This window comes from Homo sapiens, chromosome 17 (assembly GCF_000001405.40).
Source record: "Homo sapiens chromosome 17, GRCh38.p14 Primary Assembly".
Taxonomy (NCBI): domain Eukaryota; kingdom Metazoa; phylum Chordata; class Mammalia; order Primates; family Hominidae; genus Homo; species Homo sapiens.
In genome coordinates this window covers 61,914,002-61,937,344 of record NC_000017.11, presented here as the reverse complement: position 1 = coordinate 61,937,344, position 23,343 = coordinate 61,914,002, and the positions used below count along the sequence as shown (strand labels likewise).

At 43.3% G+C, this 23,343-nt stretch overlaps 1 protein-coding gene across 4 annotated transcripts in view, besides 1 other annotated feature; it reads left to right on the top strand.

The window, feature by feature from the left end:
• Positions 9,233-9,332: a silencer, noted in NCBI's record as "silent region_8802". NCBI's record gives its function as "represses an Ori minimal core promoter by ATAC-STARR-seq in GM12878 lymphoblastoid cells {active_cell/tissue: GM12878}" and the evidence as "EXISTENCE:reporter gene assay evidence [ECO:0000049][PMID:35858748]".
• Positions 9,363-23,343, top strand: part of INTS2 (integrator complex subunit 2) — a 62,616-nt gene continuing 48,635 nt past the window's right edge. For 2 of the 4 annotated variants that reach the window (XR_934509.3, NM_020748.4), the window contains exons 1-5: positions 9,363-9,410; positions 10,683-10,993; positions 12,246-12,384; positions 15,518-15,620; positions 17,832-17,945. Coding sequence is in view for 3 of the 4 variants with exons in the window: in NM_020748.4 (NP_065799.2) it covers positions 9,405-9,410; positions 10,683-10,993; positions 12,246-12,384; positions 15,518-15,620; positions 17,832-17,945 (673 nt within the window). In the remaining variant the exon portion in view is untranslated. Of the gene's footprint in view, positions 9,692-10,682; positions 10,994-12,245; positions 12,385-15,517; positions 15,621-17,831; positions 17,946-23,343 lie in introns of all 4 variants that reach the window. The other 2 variants (NM_001330417.2, NM_001351695.2) reach the window with 2 other exon arrangements.

Genomic DNA, 23,343 nt, shown 5'->3' with positions numbered 1-23,343 from the left:
GCCAGGTGTGGTGACATGTGTCTGTATTCCCAGCTACTCAGAAGGCTTGAGGCAGGAGAATCGCTGGAACCCAGGAGGCGGAGGCTGCTGTGAACCGAGATCATGTCACTGCATTCCAGCCTGGGTGACGAGTGAGACCCTGTCTCAAAAAAAAGAAAAGAGATACAAGGCCGGGCGCGGTGGCTCACGTCTGTAATCCCAGCACTTTGGGAGGCTGAGGCGGGCGGATCACGAGGTCAGGAGATCAAGACCACGGTGAAACCCCGTCTCTGCTAAAAATCCAAAAAAAAAAAAAAAAAAAATTAGCCGGGCGCGGTGGCGGGCGCCTGTAGTCCCAGCTACTCGGGAGGCTGAGGCAGGAGAATGGCGTGAACCCGGGAGGCGGAGTTTGCAGTGTGAGCCGAGATCGCGCCACTGCACTCCAGCCTGGGGGCCAGAGCGAGACTCCGTCTCAAAAAAAAAAAAAAAAAAAAGAGAGATACAAACCTCTGACCTTAAGCCTTCAGTATATTTGGAAACACACTTGTATGAACATAATTAGTTCGACAAGTCCTCTAAAGTGCTATGAATAACAATGCAGTACATACCTAAAAGAGAGTAACTGGAATCAATCTCTTATTTTATTTATTATTATTATTACTTTTTAGAGACGGAGTCTCGCTCTGTCGCCCAGGCTGGAGTGAGTGGCGCAATCTCGGCTCACTGCAAGCTCCGCCTCCCGGGTTCACACCATTCTGCCTCAGCCTCTTGAGTAGCTGGGACTACAGGCGCCTGCCACCACGCCAGGCTAATTTTTTTGTATTTTTAGTAGAGATGGGGTTTCACTATGTTAGCCAGGATGGCCTCGATCTCCTGACCTCGTGATTGGCCCACCTCAGCCTTCCAAAGTGCTGGGATTACAGGCGTGAGCCACCATGCCTGGCCCTCATCTTTTATTTTGACAGTATTGATAAACTAATTATGAGAATGAACATTCAGCAGGTTATTTAGTAAAATTCCATGGTATCTTTTTTTTTTTTAACTTTTAGGTTTAGGGGTACATGTGGAGGCTTGTTATATAAGTAAACTTGTGTCATGGGGGTTTGTTGTACAGATTATTTCATCACCCAGGTATTAAACCTAGTTTCCAATAGTTATTTTTCCTTCTCCTTAGCCTCCTTCCACCCCCACCCTCCACCCTCAAGTAGACCCTATTGTCTGTTGTTCCCTTCTTTGTGTCCATGAGTTCTCATCATTCAGCTACCACTTTTAAGTGAGAACACGTGGTATTTGGTGTTCTGTTCCTGTATTAGCTTACTAAGGATAACAGCCTCCAGCTCCATCCATGTTCCTGCAGAAGACATGATCTCATTCTTTTTTATGGCTGCACAGTATTCCATGGTATATATGTACACATTTTCTTTATCCAATCTGTCATTGGTGGGCATTTAGATTTAATTCTATGTCTTTGCTACTGTGAATTGTGCTGCAATGAACATGCACGTGCATGTGTCTTTATGGTAGAATGGTTTATATTCCTCTGGATATATAACCAGTAATGACATCGATGGGTCAAATGGTATTTCGAGCTCTTTGAGGAATTGCCACACTACTTTTCACATTGTTGAACTAATTTATACTCCTACCAACAGTGTGTAAGTGTTGCCTTTTCTCTGCAACCTTGCCAGCATCTGTTCTTCTTTGGCATTAAAAAAAAAAAAAAAAATTGCAACCGGGCACAGTGGCTCATGCCTCTAATCCCAGCACTTTGGGAAACCAAGACGGGTGGATCACTGGGAGTTGGAGACCAGCCCGCCCAATATGGTGAAACCCTGTATTTACTAAAAATACAAAAAAAAATTAGCCGGGCATGGTGGTGAGCGCCTGTAATCCCAGCTACTCAGGAGGCTGAGGCAGAAGAATTGCTTGAACCCGGGAGGTGGAGGTTGCAGCAATCTGAGATTGCGCCACTGCACTCCAGCCTGGGTGACAGAGCGAGACTCCATCTCAAAAAAAAAAAAAAAAAAAAAAAAAAAAGGCTGGGCGCGGTGGCTCACGCCTGGACTCCCAGCACTTTGGGAGGCCGAGGCGGGCGGATCACGAGGTCAGGAGATCGAGTCCATCCTGGCCAACATGGTAAAACCCCGTCTCTACTAAAAATACAAAAAATTAGCCGGTCGTGGTGGCAGGCGCCTGTAGTCCCAGCTACTTGAGAGGCTGAAGCAGGAGAATGGCGTGAATGCCGGAGGTGGAGCTTGCCAGTGAGTCGAGATCGTGCCACTGCACTCCATCCTGGGCGACAGAGCGAGACTCCATCTCAAAAAAAAAAAAATTTGATAGTCTTCTTTGTATGTTTCTGATTGTAGTATATGTGCTGCCAAAGCGAGCACTATTTTTTTGACTTTTTAAAAATACTCATTCTGACTGGTGTGAGATATCTCATTGTGGTTTTGATTTGCATTTTTCTAATACTCAGAGATATTTACCTGTTTTTCATACACTTGTTGGCCGCCTGTATGTCTTCTTTTGAAAAGTGGATGTTTATGTTCTTTGCCCACTTTTTTTTTTTTTTTTTTGAGACGGCGTCTCGCTCTGTCACCCAGGGTGGAGTGCAGTGGCGTGATCTTGGCTCACTGAAACCTCCGCCTCCCGGGTTCAAGCAATTCTCCTGCCTCAACCTCCCGAGTAGCTGGGATTACAGGTGCACGCCACCATGCTATTTTTTTTTTTTTTTTTTTTTTTGGATTTTTAGTAGAGACGGGGCTTCACCATGTTGGCCAGGCTTGTGTCAAACTGCTGACCTTGTGATCCACCTGCCTCGACCTCCCAAAGTGCTGGGATTACAGGCGTGAGCCACAGTGCCCGGCCTCTTTGCCCACTTTTTAATGGGGCTGTCTTTTTTTTTTTTTTTTTGATGGAGTTTCGCTCTTGTTGCCCAGGCTGGAGTTCAATGGCACAATCTCGGCTCACCACAACCTCTCCCTCCCGGGTTCAAGCGATTTTCCTGCCTCAGCCTCCTGAGTAGCTGGAATTACAGGCATGCGCCACTATACCCGACTAATTTTGTATTTTTAGTAGAGACAGGATTTCTCCATGTTGGTCAGGCTGGTCTTGAACTCTCGACCTCAGGTGATCCGCCCGCCTTGGCCTCCCAAAGTGCTGGGATTACAGCCATGAGCCACTGTGCCTGGCCAGGGCTGTCTTTCTCTTCTACATTTTTTTAAAGTTTCTTATAGATGCCGGATGTTACACATTTGTCAGAAGTCACAGAAGACACAAATGGAAAAACATCCCATGCTGATGGATGGGAAGAATCAATATCATTAAAATAGCCATACTTTCCAAAGCAATTTACAGATTCAGTGCTATTCCTATCAAACTACCAATGACATTCTTCACAGAACTAGAAAAAGCTATTGTAAAATTTGTATGGAACCAAAAAAGAGCCCGTATAGCTGAGGTAATCCTAAGCAAAAAGAACAAAGCTGGAGGCCTCATGTTACCCAACTTCAAACTATGCTACGGGGCTACAGTAACCAAAATAGCATGGTACTGGTACAAAGACAGCCACATAGACCAATGGAACAGAATAGAGAGCCCAGAAAAAAGGCCACACATCTACGACCATCTGATCTTTAACAAAGCTGACAAAAATAAGCAATGGGGAAAAGACTCCCTATTCAATAAATGGTGCTGGGATAATTGGCTAGTCCTATGCAGAAGATTGAAGCTGGACCCATTCCTTACACCATATAAAAAATCAACTCAAGTTGGATTAAAGACTTAAATGTAAACCCCCAAATTGTAAAAATCCTGGAACACAACCTAGGCAATACCATTCTGGACATAGGAACAGGAAAAGATTTTATAACAAAGACACAAAAACCAATTGTAACAAAAGCAAAAATTGACAAATGGGATCTAATTAAACTTAAGAGCTTCTGCACAGCAAAAGAAACTATCAACAGAGTAAACAGACAACCTGCAGAATGGGAGAATATTTGCAAACTATGCATCGTGGTATCTTTATGCTTGAATCATTAATTCAACAAAGTAAGTTAAGTGTCGTACTGTGCCTTTGGCAAGGAACTAAAATATGGTCCCTGCTCTCAAAATACTTCCTTTTTTTTTTTTCTTTTGAGACGGAGTCTCACTCTGTCCCCCAGGCTGGAATGCAGTGACACGATCTCAGCTCACTGCAAGCTCCGCCTCCTGGGTTCATGCCATTCTCCTGCCTCAGCCTCCCGAGTAGCTGGGACTACAGGCGCCCGCCACCACACCCGGCTAATTTTTTGTATTTTTAGTAGAGACAGGGTTTCACTGTGTTAGCCAGGATGGTCTTGATCTCCTGACCTCATGATCCACCCATCTCGGCCTCCCAAAGTGCTGGGATTACAGGGGTGAACCACCGTGCCCGGCCCTCTCAAAATACTTTTTAGTGGGAGAGACAGAGAAGTTCTAACAATTACAATATAATGTGTTAAGTAGTATAGCTGAAAGAAGCAAAAGGTGCCTTGAGAGCATAGAATAGGGATACCTGATAAGTTAAAGGGTAGGTGGTTTGTCAGGGAAAGGTCTCTTAGCAAGGGAACACTGGAGGTGAGACTTAAAGGACACTTAGGAGTTTGCATTAAAAAAGAGAATGAAAAGCATTCTAGACAGGAGGAACTGTGATGAGAAGGTCCAAGAATATTGAGAAGGATTTGAGACATAAACAGTTCCAACTGACTAAAATGACACCATGGTGGGATACGGCAGGACTCCAAGCTAGAGTTTTAAGTCAGACCATAAAAATCTGTTTTTGGGTTGGGCGCAGTGGCTCAAGCCTGTAATCTCAGCACTTTGGGAGGCTGAGGTGGGCAAATCACCTGAGGTCAAGAGTTTGAGACCAGCCTGGTCAACATGGTGAAAACCCATCTCTACTGAAAATACCCCAAAAAATTTAGCCAGGCATGGTGGTGGGTGCCTGTAATCCCAGTTACGCAGGAGGCTGAGGCAGGAGAATCGCTTGAACCCAAGAGGCAGAGGTTGCAATGAGCTGAGATTGTGCCACTGCACTCCAACCTGGGCGACAGACTGAGACTCCACCTCAAAAAAAAAAAATCTGTCTTAGGGCTTGGCACAGTGGCTCACGCCTGTAATCTCAGCACTTTGGGAGGCCAAGCCGTGCAGATCACTTGAGGTCAGGAGACTGACACAAGCCCGGCCAACATGGTGAAACCCCGTCTCTCCTAAAAATACACAAAAATTTAGTTGGGCATGGTGGCAGGTGCCTGTAATCCCAGCTACTTGGGAGGTTGAGGCAGGAGAATTGCTTGAACCTGGGAGGCGGAGGTTGCAGTGAGCCAAGATTGAGCCACTGCACTCCATCCAGGGTGACAGAGCGAGACTCTGTCTCAAAAAAATATAATCAATCAATCTGTCTTTTTAGTTCCATCCTAAAGAAATTCAACTTTATCCCAAAGCAGGGTAGTGTTTTAGTAGTTGGGCTGATTTATAAAACAGTCTCATACTTGAGCCTTGATTGGTGGAGCTATGTCAACCTGGAGGGATGTCTCTAATGCTGAACTAGAAGTCTTGGCTGGACCCAATTCTATTCAATGTTTTATCCATAATATTAATGAAGATATGATCTGCTAAGCTAAAACAGATAGCCAGTGTAAAAGAGTCAAAGATCTTTACAGGCTGAAACATGAAAGAATATATATATTTTTTGAGATGGAGTCTCACTCTGTTGCCCAGGCTAGAGTGCAGTGGCGCAATCTCGGCTCAATGCAACCTCCACCTCTCGGGTTCAAGCGATTCTCCTGCCTCAGCCTCCCAAGCAGCTGGGACTACAGGTGCACACCACCACACCCAACTAATTTTTGTATTTTTAGTAGAGACAGGGTTTCATCATATTGGCCAGGCTGGTCTAGAACTCCTGACCTCGTGATCCACCCGCCTCGGCCTCCCAAAGTGCTGGGATTACAGGCATGAGCCATCGTGCCCTCCTGAAAGACATCTTACAAGATAAAATAGTCACACTATAAAGAGCATCATGTTGAGCAAAATGGAGCTAGATGTCTTCTGAGATCCTTGTGCTTCTGGAATTCTATGACTATTTCTGAAGGACATTGGTCCTCACCTTTGTATAGTTAGGTCTTCTAACTGCTGGAAGCTCAATTACTCTGCAACCTACATTAAGCACCTAGTATACATGAAACATAATAGATATTCTAATGTGTTTTTCTGTTTTTCTCATTTTTTCATTACTTGTGTTTCTCTCTTCCTCCAGTCTGATTGAAAAATAAAGTAGAAGAATAAAAGCAAGCTGGTCAAGCCAGGTGCAGTGGCTTGCACCTGTAATCCTAGCACTTTGGTGGACTGAGGGGGGACAGATGGCTTGAGTCCAGGAGTTCAAGACCAGCCTGGCCACATAATGAAACCCTGTCTCTACAAAAAAATAGAAAAATTAGCCAGGTGTGGTGATGCATGACCATAGTCTCAGTTACTTGGGAGGCTGAAGTGGGAGGATCACCTGAGCCCAGGAGGTTGAGGTTGTAGTGAGCCAAGATCGCCCAACTGCACTGCCGCTCTTTTCTTGAGAACTTGTGTCGAAAAGGAAAAAAAAAGAGAGGCTGGGTACAGGGACTCATGCCTGAAATCCCAGCATTTTGGGAGGCCAAGGTGGGTGGATCAGCTGAGGTCAGGAGTTTGAGACCAGCCTGGCCAACATGGTGAAACCCTGTCTCTACTAAAAATACAAAAAATTAGCCAGGCATGGTGGCAGGCACCTGTAATCCCACCTACTCAGGAGGCTGAGGCAGGAGAATCGCTTGACCCTGGGAGGCGGAGGTTGCAGTGAGCCAAGATCGCACCACTGCACTCCAGCCTGGGTGACACAGCGAGACTCTGTCTCAAAAAAAAAAAAAAAAAAATTAGCCAAGTGTGGTGGTGCACACCTATTGTCCCAGCTACTCAGGAGGCTGAGGTGGGAGGATTGCTTCAGCTTGGGAGGCAGAGGTTGTAGTGAGCCGAGATCGTGCCACTGCACTCCAGCTTGGGCAACAGAACGAGACTCTGTCTCAAAAAAAAAAAAGTTTTATTGGCAAACATTACAATGTTTCAATGATTATAAAGATTTTTGCTAAATTAATACAAGGGGGAGAGATTAGAGTCTAGGATGACTTTTAGGTTTCTGGCTTGAGCAACTCAAGGTCAAGTTGGTGAACTGGAAGAAAAGGAGAGGGGGACTTGGAGGAAGTGTCAGCACTCATTATGTGACACTGCAGCCATCTCATTCAGTGATTTTTCTGTTTCTCCATAGATCAAGATGGAGATACTGAATCTGCATGATGTTTCTCCATTAGTGAACAGAGGATCATAATTAGAGTTGGAAAGGATCTTTAAAATCACTTAGTTCATACCCACATCTTCCTCTCATTCGTCCCTCAAACCAATGTTTGCACTGCCTTCACACTTTTCCTGTGAAATGACCATCCATGGAGATGAAATTGCTTACCCTCTCTCAGTTTCCACAATTGCAAAAGGCGAATATTACCTACGTCACAAGATTGAATCAGATAATATATATAAAGCATTTATTACAGTGCCTAGCAAGTGTTCAATAAATAAATCCCAAATATTAGCTTAAAAATGCTAGGACAGTACAGTGTGCAACCCATTAATAGAGTGTGAAATCAGTTTTAGTGTGCAGTGACCAGCAGTTTTTTAAAGAGAAGTAGAAACATGTAGTGTGTGTGTTATTATACGAAATATTTGTTTCCATGTAAATGTGGGTTTATATGTTATATATTTATATGTTTATATAGCATATAAATTTATACACTTACACTTATTTTTGTATGTGGATATATACATATGTTTTTTCTGGGTCACAATGTGAAATGTATTATTGTGGGTCAGGTGGAAAAAATTTTCAGAAGCATTGCAACACACAATTCTTTTCTTCCTTTGCTGATCTATGTTGAAAGTCATATATATATATATATTTTTGAGATGGAGTCTGGCTCTGTTGCCCAGGCTGGAGTGCGGTGGCATGATCTCTGCTCACTGAAACATCTGCCTCCTAGGTTCAAGTGATTTTCCTGTCTCAGCCTCCGAAGTAGCTGGGACTACAGGTGCTCCATCACCACGCTGGGGTAATTTTTTTTTTTTTTTTTTTTTTTTGAGACGGAGTTTCGCTCTTATTGCCTAGGCTGGAGTGCAATGGCACGATCTCAGCTCACCACAACCTCCGCCTCCCAGGTTCAAGCAATGCTCCCGCCTCAGCCTCCCAAGTAGCTGAGATTACAGGCGCACACCACCACGCCTGGCTAATTTTTGCATTTTTAGTAGAGGCGGAGTTTCACCATGTTGGTCAGGCTGGTCTCGAACTCCTGGCCTCGTGATCTGCCTGCCTCGGCCTCCCAAAGTGCTAGGATTACAGGCATGAGCCATCGTGCTCGGCCTAATTTTTATATTTTTTGTAGAGTTGGGGTTTAGTCATGTTGCGTCAGGCTGGTCTCGAACTCCTGACCTCAGGTGATCCGCCCGCCTCGGCTTCCCAAAGCGCTGGGATTACAGGCATGAGACACCACGCCCGGCTCTGACTTTATTTTTAAAGAGGTTATAAAGTGCTATATCTTTGTAAAATATTTTTATTTCCAGCTCCTAGCACAATATCTGGTAAATAGAAGTTGCCAAATAAACGTTGATCGAACTAGGAACAATAAATAGTATGAAGACATATGGACTAGCGGTTCTTCATATATAGACTAGTGGTTCTTTTCTGAGTGATCAGACTTCCTTTGAGAAGTTGTTGAAAGTTTTGGACCCTCTTCCCAGAAGAAGTGCCGAGCACTCAGTTCTGAACGGATTCCAGAGAATTCCTGAATCCCCGTGCATTGCCTCTCTAAGGTTCTATGGGTCCCCCAAGTTAAGAACCTGAAAGGAAGGTGTTTAACTTCTGACAGCGGAGGTGTGAGGTCAAGAGCGGAAGAAAGTTTGGGGTTAGATCACTTTTAAAATTCTCCCACAAATCCTGGGATTCTAGAATTTTGGTTCTGGGAAGGCACAGGCAAAGATTTAAAGAGTACAGTTTGGTACCACTAGTGTCAAAGAATAGTGGGAACGATTTTAACACACGTTATGCCATTTGAATGCCATGGCAATCCTGTGATGATGAAATTTAAGTTCTGAGGGGCTCAGTGGCTTGCTTGTCTAAAAGGAAGGAGCTGGTAGGCTCTGGAAATCAGAGCCTACCAGAATCACATTTCTAAATTTTTGGCGAACAAGTAGGGCAGGGCAAATAAAGTGGAGAAAGGGGCGGGGCCGCGCACGCGCACAGTTGCATTGGCGCCGACGTCTCTGCCTTTCCTCTCGCAGCCACCCTTCCTCTCAGACCAGTACGGTGGCCGACGGGAGTCAGACGCTGGGGATGAATGAAGGTGCTGGGTGCAGGTTGAAAAAGTCTCCCGCTTTTCCGTTCCTACAGTCCCGGTTCTGCCTTTGTGTGGTGCCCCCATCCTTCCCACTTTGTATCGACAACCCGGTTGGTCCCGGCGTCTGAGTTCTTGGTGTCCGAGTCGACTCGAGGCACAACTAGGGTTTGGGGTTCCGGATATCGCCTAGGCCCAACATCGGACCGCGCTCTCGATTTCTGCCGCGTCCCGCCTCTAGGACGCGGAGTCCGTGTGCGGTTCCGTGAGGCTGGAGGGTAGATCTTAAGGTATGAAGCGTCCGCTTCTCTGGCCTCAGCGCGTTCCTAGGTCCGTGTCGGAGCCTGGCCAGACTTTGCTCAGCCTGAGGGACTTATTGGTTCTAGTTGCGCCCGGGGCGAGACGGAGGAGCACGCAGGTCTTGGCTCCTCTGCTCCAGTCAGCCCGCCCCTCTGTTAAAAGAGCAGCCCCTCCCTGAAAGCAAAGCAGTTTTTACCCACGACTTTTACCCACGCTGCTGCTAGTCGGTCGGCCTTGAGAGGGGACTGCTTTGGCTGCCAGCTCACTGCCTTTTTGTTTACTTTTTGTGCCTTGGATGATTCCTGGAGACAGAGAAGTGCGCTAATGAGACGCGTCTTTCTCACATAGCACCCACACATCTGCTTTTTACCCGGTAACACAGGGGACATAGGATAGTGTTGTGGCCTCCAGAGCCTTGAATCTGGCATTGGTTCTGCCCAGTGATTTGCTAGTTTTTCCACCGACTCATGGAGGGTGAGAAAGAGAAGCCCAATAGTTCTTGATGTATATCGGGGTAGGCATGTGAAACTATCGGGGTATGAAAGAAAGCACTTAACTATGACCATTCACTTTTGTTTACATTTTGTGGAGCTCATGTGACTGATATAGTGGAGAAAGTCTTGGACTGGGATTTTAGTAGATGAGGATTCAGCCTTGGATTGTGCCTCTAACTAGTAATACTATTTTGGGCGTGTTACTTCATCTCTCTGGGCTTCATATTCCTTCTTTGTAAAATATGAGTATTAGAGCAGAAGATTCCTGAGGCTGGAAGAGACATTAATATACTCTGTTTTCTTTCCCATTTCCCAGGTGACAGTATAAACCTAGGGAGACAGAGAAGCCTTGTCTTGATTGTGCCAGGAACATTGCCAACATAGGGACCTATTAAAGATACACCACATTTTTCAGGGTTTTTAGAAAGTTGGGTGTTCATACATGTGAAAGTTAAACTCCTACTTTCATTTGTATTTTTACCATTAGGATCAACAAACAGTAATAATGACTGAATGTACAAGTCTTCAGTTTGTCAGCCCTTTTGCTTTTGAGGCAATGCAGAAGGTGGATGTTGTTTGCCTGGCATCTTTAAGTGATCCAGAATTAAGACTTCTTCTGCCCTGTTTGGTACGGATGGCACTTTGTGCACCTGCTGACCAGAGCCAAAGCTGGGCTCAGGATAAGAAACTCATCCTTCGCCTTCTTTCTGGAGTGGAAGCTGTCAACTCCATTGTTGCATTGTTGTCCGTGGACTTTCATGCTTTAGAACAAGATGCCAGCAAAGAACAGCAGCTTAGGTAATGTTATGTTATATTATATGTGGATTTGGATTTGACAAAGAACAGGGAATCAGATATTTTTTAGAGCTCTCCAGAAAAGAGAGAATGAGAATCTAAATTCTGGAGAGCATTTTACTTAGGTCTTTTCTGTATATAGTTACAGTTCCAGAATCTTTTGACTTCCATGTTATAAAATGTTATCTAGAGAAATATGGCAATGTGCTGTTGTATGTGGGCTAAACTCATTAGGCCAATTACTTTCAGTGGGAAGTAGGTAGGGTAACTTCCCCTAGATTAGAGGGATTTATTGGAATCACTTGGGAGGCTTTTTTTTTTCTTTTTTGAGACAGAGTTTCGCTCTTGTTGCCCAGGCTGGAGTGCAATGGCGTGATCTTGGCTCACTGCAACCTCAGCCTCCCAGGTTCAAGCGATCCTCCTGCCTCAGCCTCCCGAGTAGCTGGGATTACAGGCACCTGCCACCATGCCCGGCTAATTTTTTGTATTTTTAGTAGAGATGGGGTTTCATCATGTTGGCCAGGCTGGTCTCCAACTCCTGGCCTCAGGTGATCCACCTGCCTTGGCCTCCCAAAGTGCTGGGATTACAAGTGTGAGCCACTGGGCCCAGCCTCTTGGGAGGCTTTTAAAGCTTAGATATTCCCAAAGATTCTGGGCAGGTGCTATGTCCTTCCCTGCCCATTGTGAATCTAGTAGCAAGCCACCATCAGTGGAAGTGAGTGTTAATTGTCAGTTGTGGTAGAGTATTTATTTATTTATTTTTATTTTTATTTTTTTTTAGACCGAGTCTTGCCCTGTTGCCCAGGCTGGAGTGCGGTGGCGTGATCTCGGCTCACTGCAACCTCCACCTCCTGGGTTCAAGTGATTCTTCTGCCTCAGTCTCCCGAGTAGATGGGACTACAGGCACGCGCCACCATGCCCGGCTTTTTTGTATTATTAGTAGAGACGAGGTTTCACCATATTGGCCAGGCTGGTCTCGAACTCCCAACCTTGTGATCCACCTGCCTCAGCCTCCCAAAGTACTGGGATTACCGGCGTGAGCCACTGTGCCTGGCCTATGTGGTGGAGTATTTATTATACGTAGGATGTGAATCCCTGAAATACACAGGCAAACTAAATAGCATTTCAGAAGTAACAGAACATTTTAGAACACTTTATACATCCTTTTATAGCTTATTTCAATAAAAGATAATTTTTATGCAATTATTTCCATATCAGTGTTTTCATAATTGTTACATGTTTTGTACTTCATTAGGCATAAACTTGGAGGAGGCAGTGGAGAGAGCATCCTGGTATCACAGCTTCAGCATGGACTGACGTTAGAGTTTGAACACAGTGATTCACCTCGTCGATTGCGTCTTGTGCTTAGTGAACTGTTGGCAATTATGAACAAGGTGCATTTCTTTTAACCACAGCTCAAAGTATGCATGATTTGATGTCTATGTATAGGGAGGTAGACAGAAAAAGAGACAAGAAGTCAGGCAGGTTGAATTCTCCTCTACTCTTATTTTGTTCTTTTTTTTTGGAGACGGAGTTTCATTCTTATTGCCCAAGCTGGAATGCAGTGGTGTGATCTCAGCTCACTGTAATCTCTGTCTCCCAGATTCAAACGGTTCTCCTGCCTCAGCTTCATGAGTAGCTGGGATTACAGGTGCCCGCCACCACGCCCAGCTAATTTTTTGTATTTTTAGTAGAAATGGGGTTTCACCATGTTGACCAGGCTGGCCAGGCTGGTCTCGAACTCCTGAACTCAGGTGATCCACCCGCCTCAGCCTCCCAAAGTGTTGGGATTACAGGCATGGGTCACCGTGCCCGGCCTTCTCTACTTTTATTTCTATATATTTGTTTTCCTTTCAAAGCCTGAAAGGATATTATAAGTCTGCCTTAAAGTCCTTCTCTTAATTATCATTTTCTCTCATTTATACTTGTTCTGCATTTTCTATGAGAGGGATTTTTTTCCGTATGGAATCCATACACAGTGGCTTCTTGACATTTAGAAAGGGATTTATCTCAAGGCTTGTACAGATTATCAAATTTATTAGCAGATAATACCTTTATGGGATACAATTTCTCCCATAAAGTGTAATGAAGTAACATTTTCAATAACTGAATGTGAATAACTGAAAAATGTATGTGATTCATTTAGACACTGGATGAGCAGTAACAGCCTCATATATGACAGCAGAGGGGAGTATCAATGCTGAATTGAATGTAGGATGATTGGCTAGTCTCAATCACTAAATGACCAAAGTGCTTCTTTACACTAATGAAAGCTATTCAAGTTATCTTCTTTGTAAAATTATAGATTACTTAGGTCATAGACCTTTGGGTAATATAGTTAATTGAAACTCTGAATTTAAAATTTTTGAATGTCAAAGTTCTATCATATAAATAACTAAATTAGCTGGGCGTGGTGGTGCACGCCTGTAATCCCAGCACTTTGGGAGGCCGAGGTGGGCGGATCACCTGAGGTTGGGAGTTCAAGACCAGCCTGACCAACATGGAGAAACCCCGTTTCTACTAAAAAATACAAAATTAGCCAGGAGTGGTGGTGCATGCCTGTAAAAGAATTGCTTGAACCTGGGAGGTGGAGGTTGTGGTGAGCCGAGATTGTGCCATTGCACTCCAGCCTAGGCAACAAGAGTAAAACTGCCTCAAAAACAACAACCACCACCACCACAAAAACCCACTAAATTAGATCTTTATGTTTATTTACTGTTATAATTTTGGGGAGTCAGTTAATTTATAGTAAATAAAGTTTAGTTTTATAAATTGTGGACAAAAAGAGAAAGGACTAAATTCTGTTTTCATAGAAAATACTGGTAGAGAGGATTTTGGTGAGTTTTAGATAGTTTTTTTTTTTTTTTTTTTTTTTTTGGAGACAGAGTCTCACTCTGTCGCCCAGGCTGGAGTGCAGTGGCACAATCTCGGCTCACTGCAAGCTCCGCCTCCCGGGTTCACACCATTCTCCTGTCTCAGCCTCCCGAGTAGCTGGGACTACAGGTGCCCGCCACCATGCCTGGCTAATCTTTTGTATTTTTAGTAGAGACGGGGTTTCACCGTGTTAGCCAGGATGGTCTCGATCTCCTGATCTCGTGATCCGCCCTCCTTGGCCTCCCAAAGTGCTGGGATTACAGGCACGAGCCACTGCGCCCGGCCGAGTTTTAGACAGTTTTTAAGGTATGTTAAAAAATTTTTCTAAAATTTCCATCACCAATTATAATTTCCTTCTCTTTTTTACTATTTTGATACTTTTATTTATTTTTGTTTGTTTTTTTGAGACAGAGTTTCGCTCTTGTTGCCCAGGTTGGAGTGCAATGGTGTGATCTTGCTCACTGCAACCTTTGCCTCCTGGGTTAAAGCGATTCTCCTGCCTCAGCCTCCTGAGTAGCTAGAATTACAGGCACCCGCCACCATGCCTGCTAATTTTTGTATTTTTAGTAGAGACGGGGTTTCACCATGTTAGCCAGGCTGGTCTCGAACTCCTGACCTCAGGTGATCCTCCCACCTCGGCCTCCCAAAGTTCTGAGATTACAGGCATGAGCCACCATGCCCAGCCTATTTTGATACTTTTAAATTTCAGCCAAGAGTTTTCCTTCATCTTTTCCGTAATACCTCACTTGGTGACTCTAATAAATAAGTGACCTTTCTCCTCTGGGAGATTTCCAATTTTTTAGTTTGGCACTCTTCATTATATAGGAAATATGGTTATGAAACTATTGTGCAGAATTTCCAAAAAGCTTAGTAGATTTTGTTATCTAAACTTTAATTCTTTGTTTTTCCAACAGTTTATTCAGAATTGAACACGTATATATATATATATATATATATATATATATATATGTTTGTTTGTTTTCTTTTTTCTTTTTCTTTTTTTTTTTTTTTTTGAGACGGAGTCTCATTCTGTCTCCCAGTGTGGAGTGCAGTGGTGCTATCTCGGCTCACTGCAGCCTCCACCTCCCGGGTTCAAGCGATTCTCCTGCCTCAGCCTCCTGAGTAGCTAAGATTACAGATGGCCACCATGCTTGGCTAATTTTTATATTTTTAGTAGAGACAGGGTTTCACCATGTTGGCCAGGCTGGTCTCGAACTCCTGACCTCAGTTGATCCACCCATCTTGGCCTTCCAAAGTGCTGGGATTACAGGCGTCAGCCACTGCACCTGGCCATGAATTTATATTTGTTAAACTGCTTTAGGTTGACTGTTCTTGGCTTTTTTAAAGCAGTTTATGTAGGCTGCATTTGTAGTTCATTTCTTTGGCTTGCCTTATCCTTTAATTCCAGTTGTCTCCAAATATTTAGATAGAAATCAGTTCTTGAGATTGATACTGCTATATCTGAATAATAATTAACATGACTGCTGTGTGTGGTTAAATTGGTTGAAATTGATTGAATACTGCATATTCTGCTGTGGTATATTAGTGATACATTAAGAGACATAATCTGTGAGCTCAAGAAATAATTATAAAAATAGGGATTTAATTATCTGAAATTAATAGAGTTTATATCTTTTTTTTTTCTTTTTTAAGGTGTCTGAGTCCAACGGAGAATTTTTTTTCAAGTCTTCTGAACTTTTTGAGAGTCCAGTATATTTGGAGGAAGCTGCAGATGTACTTTGTATTTTACAAGCAGGTACTGTACTGAGTGCTAAGATGGATTTCATATATAGTTTCTTGTTAAATGATACTGTGTAACTTCTTAGCCTGGTATGCTGTGTTATTTTAGGGATCATATAACAAACATGTTATGTGATTTTAAGTCAAAAGTGACTAATAGTTGGACAATGATTAAGTAAATTATATTATTTTCATAGTGTGACATATTATGCAGACATTAACATGGTATCTTTGATTTAATGACTTTAATGCTCGTTAATGATTTTGGAAAATGTTTACAATATGTTAAGTGAAAAAAGCAAAGGGCAAAGTGTTAAGTAGACTATAATCCCAGTTTTGTTAAAAGTTCAAGAACAATACCCTTGATGAATTAAAATAAAATACTTATTTTTTTTTAGAGACAGAGTCTTGCTCTGTTGCTCAGGCTGGAGTACAGTGGCAGGATCATAGCCCACTGGCTTGAATTCCTGGACTCAAGGGATCCTCCCACTTCAGCCTTCTGAGTAGCTGGGACTACAGGCCTGTGAAAACATTTTTTATTAACTTTGAATTCTGGGATTAGGGCAGATTTTAATTTTCTTCTTCGTACCTTTTTGTATTTTCCAGATTGTATATAATAGGTGTGAATGATAGAAATAAAAGAGGACAGAAAAATGTAAAGAAGGCTGTCGCTCATGCCTGTAATCCCAGCACTTTGGGAGGCCGAGGCAGGAGGATCACTTGAGCTCAAGAGTTCAAGACCAGTCTGGGCAACATAGTGAGACCTTGTCTCTACCAAAATGAAAAAAATTAGCCTAGTGTGGTGGTGTATACCTGTAGTCCCAGCTGCATGGGAAGCTGAGGCAGGAGGATGGCTTGAGCCTGGGAGATTGAGGCTGTAGTGAGCCATGATTGTGCCATTGCACTCTGTCCAGAGTGAGACCTTGTCTTTTTTTTTTGAGATGGAGTCTCACTCTGTCACCCAGGCTGGAGTGCAGTGGTGTGATCTCGGCTCACTGCAACCTCCGCCTCCGGGGTTCAAGTGATTCTCCTTCCTTAGCCTCCTGAGTAGCTGGGATTACAGGCATGCGGCACCATGCCCAGCTAATTTTGTATTTTTAGTGGCGACGAGGTTTCACCATGTTGGCCAGGCTGGTCTCGAATTCTTAACCTTGTGATCTGCCTGCCTCAGCTTCCCAAAATGCTGGGATTATAGGCATAAGCCACTGTGCCTGGCTGCAGACCTTTTCTTAAAAAAAAAAAAAAAAAAAAAAAGTATAGGCCAGGCACGGTGGCTCACGCCTGTAATCCCAGCATTTTGGGAGGCCGAGGTGGGTGGATCACCTGAGGTCAGGAGTTGGAGACCAGCCAGGTCAACATGGTGAAACCCTGTCTCTACTAAAAATACAAAAATTAGCCTGGTGTGGTGGCAGGCTTCTGTAATCCCAGGTATTCGGGCGGCTGAGGCAGGAGAATCGCTTGAACTCTGGAGGCGGAGGTTGCGGTGAGCTGAGATTGCGCCATTGCATTCCAGCCTGGGGGACAAAAGCGAGACTTCGTCGCAAAAAAAAAAAAAAAAAAGCAAATAAGATTTTCGTGAAAATAACTCTTTAGACCAGTTCTATAAAATAAAATTTCCTGTACTGTTCTATGCTATGCTGTCCAGTGTTCTTTGTGGCTGTGGATTACTTGAAATGTGGCTAGTGTGATTGAGGAACTGAACTGTTTTTAATATAAGTATCCTTATGTTGCTAGTGGGTATCCTACTGGACAGCTTGGTTCTAGACTATGAAAAGAAAGTACTTTATTTTAGATGACATTTGTGAAATGTCAAAAGATATTTAATAATACAATGAAATGTCATTTTTGGTTGGGCATGGTGGCTCATGCCTGTAATTCTAGGAGTTTAGGAGGCTGAGGCAGGAGGATTGCTTGAGCCCAGGAGGTTGAGGCTGCAGTGAGCTATAATCACACCACTGCACTGTAGCCTGGGCAACAAAGCAAGACCCTGTCTTAAAGAAGAAAAAAAGAAATATCACTCTTTAACACTGGGTCCAGGCATGGTGGCTTATGCCTGTAATCTTAGCACTTTGGGAGGCTGAGGCTGGAGGATCACTTGAGGCCAAAGTTTGAGACCCACCTGGGCAACACAGTGAGATTCAGTCTCCACAGAAAATAAAAAAAATTAGCTGGGTGTGGTGGAGTGCACCTGTTAACAAAGACTAACACTGACTTTGTTTTCTTGTAGAGCTCCCTTCCTTGCTCCCTATAGTTGATGTAGCTGAAGCTTTGCTACATGTTAGAAATGGTGCCTGGTTCTTGTGTCTCTTGGTGGCCAATGTTCCTGATAGTTTTAATGAAGGTAAATATGATTCTAATATGGTATATTGAAAAGACTTGCTTGGACATGTACAGGACCTATCTTTTTGACCTAAGAAGAAACATTAATGGGATTTTATTTGAGATTTTATCTTTTGAAAGTTTGTTAGTATGTATAAAGAAATATTGAGTTCACAAATTGTATTGAGTTTAAAGATCAGGCTGGGCGCAGTGGCTCACACCTGTAATCCCAGCACTTTGGGAGGCCGAGGCGGGCAGATCACAAGGTCAGAAGTTTGAGACCAGCCTGGCCACTATGGTGAAACCCCATCTCTACTAAAAATACAAAAATTAGCTGGATGTGGTGGTGGGTGCCTGTAGTCCCAGCTACTGGGGAGGCTGAGGCAGAAGAATCGCTTGAACCTGGGAGGTGGAGGTTGCAGTGAGTCGAGATCGCACCACTGCACTCCGGCCTGGGCGACAGGGCGAGACTCCGTCTCAAAAAAAAAAAAAAAAAAACCCCAAGGAACTAGAAGATGTAATATCTATAATCAGGGATCAAAGAAGATACATGTATCAGTGAAATATCAAGAGAGCAATACGGGATATGTATAATGAGAAATGCTAGGAATCAGACCTTTGTTTTTTAGCCCTACTGCTGTCAGTTTACAGAGAAGTATAAAGTAGAAATTGAGAAAAATCGACTACATTTTTTCACCTCTATTTAAAACTTACAGTGATTGAAGGTTGTTGTTTGGGTATGAGTGATATAAAAATAAAAACATTTTGTTGAGCAAGGTAGTTTGTGAATTAGGAGCCTGGGAGGAAAAAGTACTGGAGTTATAATTCCTGATTTTGTCATTCACTTATTGTGTGAGCTCTATCAAAATACTTCTCATCTGGCTGGGCACGGTGGCTCATGCCTGTAATCCCAGCACTTGGGGAGGCCGAGGTGGGTGCATCATTTCAGGCCAGGAGTTTGAGACCAGCCTGGCCAACATAGTGAAACCCCGTCTCTACTAAAAATACAAAAATTAGCTGGGCTTGGTGGTGGATGCCTGTAATCTCAGCTACTCAGGAGGCTGAGACAGGAGAATTGCTTCAATCTGTGAGGTGGAGGTTGCAGCGAGCCGATATGTGCCACTGCACTCCAGCCTGGGCAACAGAGTGAGACTCTGTCTTAAACAAACAAACAAACCAAAATACTTCTCATCTGTAAAATGGAGATATTGATAGTGTAATAGTTCCCTGACTTTTTTAAGAGATTTATTGAATATCAGATGATATGTAAAAACTCTTTGTAAACTGTGTCCTTGCCGATTTTTTGTCAACTTGTTCTGTCAATTACTGAGAGAGGAGTTTTGATGTCTCCAGACATAATTGTGGATTTGCCTATTTCTTCTTTTTGTTCTGTCAGTTTTTGCTTCATGTATTTCAAAGCTCTTTTGTTGGGTTTATATGCATTTAGGATGATTATATCTTTATGATGAATTGAGCCTTTTTTTCATTATAAAATATACTTTTTTCCCCAAGTCAAATTTGATTTCTTTATTCTTAGTTTTCACATTTATAGTTATATCCCCCTTTCTAAACATTATTTACATATTATTCAATTTGTTGTCACCTTTGTTTTAATTTTTCTTTTTAAAAAAATTCGAAGTTTTATTTTAGATTCAGGGGGGTACATGTGCAGGTTTGTTACATGGGTATATTGTATGACACTGAGGTTTGGAGTTTGAATGATCCCGTCACCCAGGTTATGAGCATAGTACCCAATAGGTAGTTTCTCAGCCCTTGTCCCCTTTCTTCCTCCCCACTGGTAGTCCCAGTGTCCATTGTTCCCATCTTTATGTCCATGTGTACCCAATGTTTAACTCCCACTTATAGTGAGAACATGTGGTATTTGGTTTTCTGTTTCTGTGTTAATTTGCCTAGGATGGGATGGCTTCCAGCTTTATCCTTGTTGCGGCAAAGGACATGATTTCATTCTTTTTAATGGCTGCATAGTATTTCATGGTATATATGTACATTTTATTTAATCCACTGTTGATGGGCACCAAGGTTGATTCCATGTCTTTGCTATTGTGAATAGTATTGGGATGAACATACAAGCGCATGTGTCTTTGGTAGAACAATTTGTTGTCCTTTGAGTATATATCCAGCAGTGAGACTGCTGGGTCGAATGGTAGTTCTGTTTTAAGTTCTTTGAGAAATCTCCAAACTGCTTTCCACAGTGGCTGAACTAATTTACATTCCCACCAACAATGTGTAAGTGTTCTCTTTTCTCCACAGCCTCGCTAGCACCTATTATTTTTTGACTTTTTAATAGCCATTCTCACTGGTGTGAGATGGCATTTCATGATTGTTTTGATTTGTGTTTCTCTGATGATTAGTGATATGGAGCATTTTTTTTCATGTTTTTTGGTTGCTTATATGTCTTCTTTTGAGAAGTATCTGTTCGTGTTCTTTCCTCACTTTTAATGGGGTGGTTTTTTGCTTGTTGAATTGTTTATGTCCTTATAGATTCTGCACATTAGGCCTTTGTCAGATACATTTTTGTCAATATTTTCTCCCATTCTGTAGATTGTTTGCTCTGTTGATAGTTTCTTTTGTGTGCAGAATATCTTTAATTTAAATAGGTCACACTTGTCAATTTTTGTTTTCATTGCAATTGCTTTTGAGGACTTGGCTATAAATTCTTTGCCAAGGCCAGTGTCCAGAATAGTATTTCCTAGTGTTTCTTCTAGGATTTTTATAGTTTGAGGTTTTACATCTAAATCTTTAATCTAACTTGAGTTAATTTTTGTATATGATAAAAGATAGGGTCTAGTTTCATTCTTCTGCATATGGCTAGCCAGCTATCCCAACACCATTTGTTAAATAGGGAGTCCTTTCCCTGTCATTTATTTTTGTCAACTTTGTTGAAGATCAGATGATTGTAGGTGTGTGGCTTTATTTCTGGGTTTTCTATTCTGTTGCATTGGTCCGTGTGTCTGTTTATTTTTATTTATTAATTTTTTGTTACTCTGTTACCCAGACTGGAGTCCAGGGGTGCGACCTTGGCTCACTGCAGCTCTGCCTGCTGGGTTCACGCCATTCTCCTGCCTCAGCCTCCTGAGTAGCTGGGACTACAGGCACCCACTACCATGCCTGGCTAATTTTTTGTATTTTTAGTAGAGATGGGGTTTCACTGTGTTAGCCAGGATGGTCTCGATCTCCTGACCTCGTGGTCTGCCCGCCTCAGCCTACCAAAGTGCTGGGATTACAGGTGTGAGCCACCGTGCCTGGCCTGTGTGTCTGTTTTTATACCAGTGCCATGTTATTTTGGTTACTGTAGCCATGTAGTATAGTTTGAAGTTAGATAATGTGATGCTTCTGGCTTTGTTCTTTTTGTTAGGATTGCTTTGGCTATTCAGGCTCTTTTTTGCTGTGTGAACTTTAGTATCCTAAAGTTTCTAATTTTGTGGAAAATCATGTTGGTAGTTTGATATGAAGAGTGTTGAATCTGTAGATTGCTTTGGGCAATATGGCCATTTTAAAGATAATGATTCTTCCAATCCATGAGCTTGGAATGTTTTTCCATTTGTTTGTGTCTTATATGATTTTTTTTTTTTTTTTTTTTTTTTAGACAGAGTCTTGCTCTGTCGCCCAGTGGCACAATCTCGGCTCACTGCAAGCTCTGCCTCCTGGGTTCAGCCATTCTCCTGCCTCAGCCTCCCGAGTAGCTGGGACTACAGGCACCCGCCACCACGCCCGGCTAATTTTTTGTATTTTTTTTTTTTTTTTTAATTAGAGACAGGGTTTCACCGTGTTAGCCAGGATGGTCTTGATCTCCTGACCTAGTTATCCACCCTTCTCGGCCTCCCAAAGTGCTGGGATTGCAGGCGTGAGCCACCGCGCCCGGACTTTTTTTTTTTGAAACAGAGTTTCACTCTGTTTCACAGGCTGGAGTGCAGTGGCGCAATCTCGGCGCACTGCAACCTCTACCTCCTGGGTTTAAGCGATTCTCCTGCATCAGCCTCCCAAGTTCATGGGATTACAGGCATGGGCCACCACACCTGGCTTATTTATTTATTTATTTATTTATTTATTTATTTATTTTTTTGAGACGGAGTCTTGCTCTGTCACCCAGGCTGGAGTGCAGTGGAGTGATCTCGGCTCACTGCAACCTCTGCCTCCCCAGTTCAAGCGATTCTCCTGTCTCAGCCTCCCGAGTAGCTGGGACTACAGGCGCCTGCCACCATGCCCGGCTAATTTTTTGTGTTTTTAGTAGAGACGGGGTTTCACTGTGTTAACCAGGATGGTCTTGATCTCCTGACCTTGTGAATCGCCTGCCTTGGCCTCCCAAAGTGCTGGGATTATAGGCGTGAGCCACCGCGCCCGGCTAATTTTTGTATTTTTAGTAGAGACGGAGTTTCACCATGTTGGCCAGGCTGGTCTTGAACTCCTGACCTCAAGTGATCTGTCCTCCTCGGCCTTCCAAAGTGCTGGGATTACAGACATGAGCCACTGTCCTTGGCCTCTTTGTAGAGATTTTTAACCTCCAAAATACGCTTTTTTTTTTTTTTTGAGATAGTGTCTCGCTCTGTCACGCATGCTGGAGTGCAGTGGTGTGGTCATGATTCACTGCAGCATTGATCTCCCAGGCTCGAGTGATCCTTCTGCCTCAGCCTCTTGAGTGAGTGAGGCTACCAGCCGATACCACTGGGCCCAGATAATTTTTTTTTTTTTTTTTTTTTTGAGACGGAGTCTCACTCTGTCGCCCAGGCTGGAATGCAGTGGCGCAATCTCGGCTCACTGCAAGCTCCGCCTCCTGTGTTCACGCCATTCTCCCGCCTCAGCCTCCCGAGTAGCTGGGACTACAGGCGCCCGCCACCACCACGCCCGGCTAATTTTTTTGTATTTTTAGTAGTAACACGGTTTCACCGTGTTAGCCAGGATGGTCTGGATCTCCTGACCTCGTGATGCGCCCTCTGTGGCCTCCCAAAGTGCTGGGATTATAGGCGTGAGCCACTGCACCTGGCGCGCCCAGCTAATTTTTTGTATTTTTGTGGATATGGGGTTTCACCATGTTACCCGTGCTGTCTCAGACTCCTGGGCTAAAGTGGTCCGCTTGCCTCAATCTCCCAAAGTGCTGGGATTTACAGGCGTGACAAAATAGACTTCTTTATTGCTGATAATATTCCTTCTTTTCAAGTCTACTTTGTCTGAATAATACAGCCATGTCATCTTTCTTATAATTAGTTTTTCCATGGTGTATATATTTCTTCATCTCTTTAATCTGTCCATATCTTAAGGTCGATTTCTTGTGGACAGGTATAGTTCGGTCTTCATTTTTTTTAATCTAGTGGCAGTCTCTGTCTTTTAATTGGAGTGTTTAGACTGTATACATAGACCATTTAAATGTGATTATTATAGTGGTTAGGTTTGAATCTTCTTGT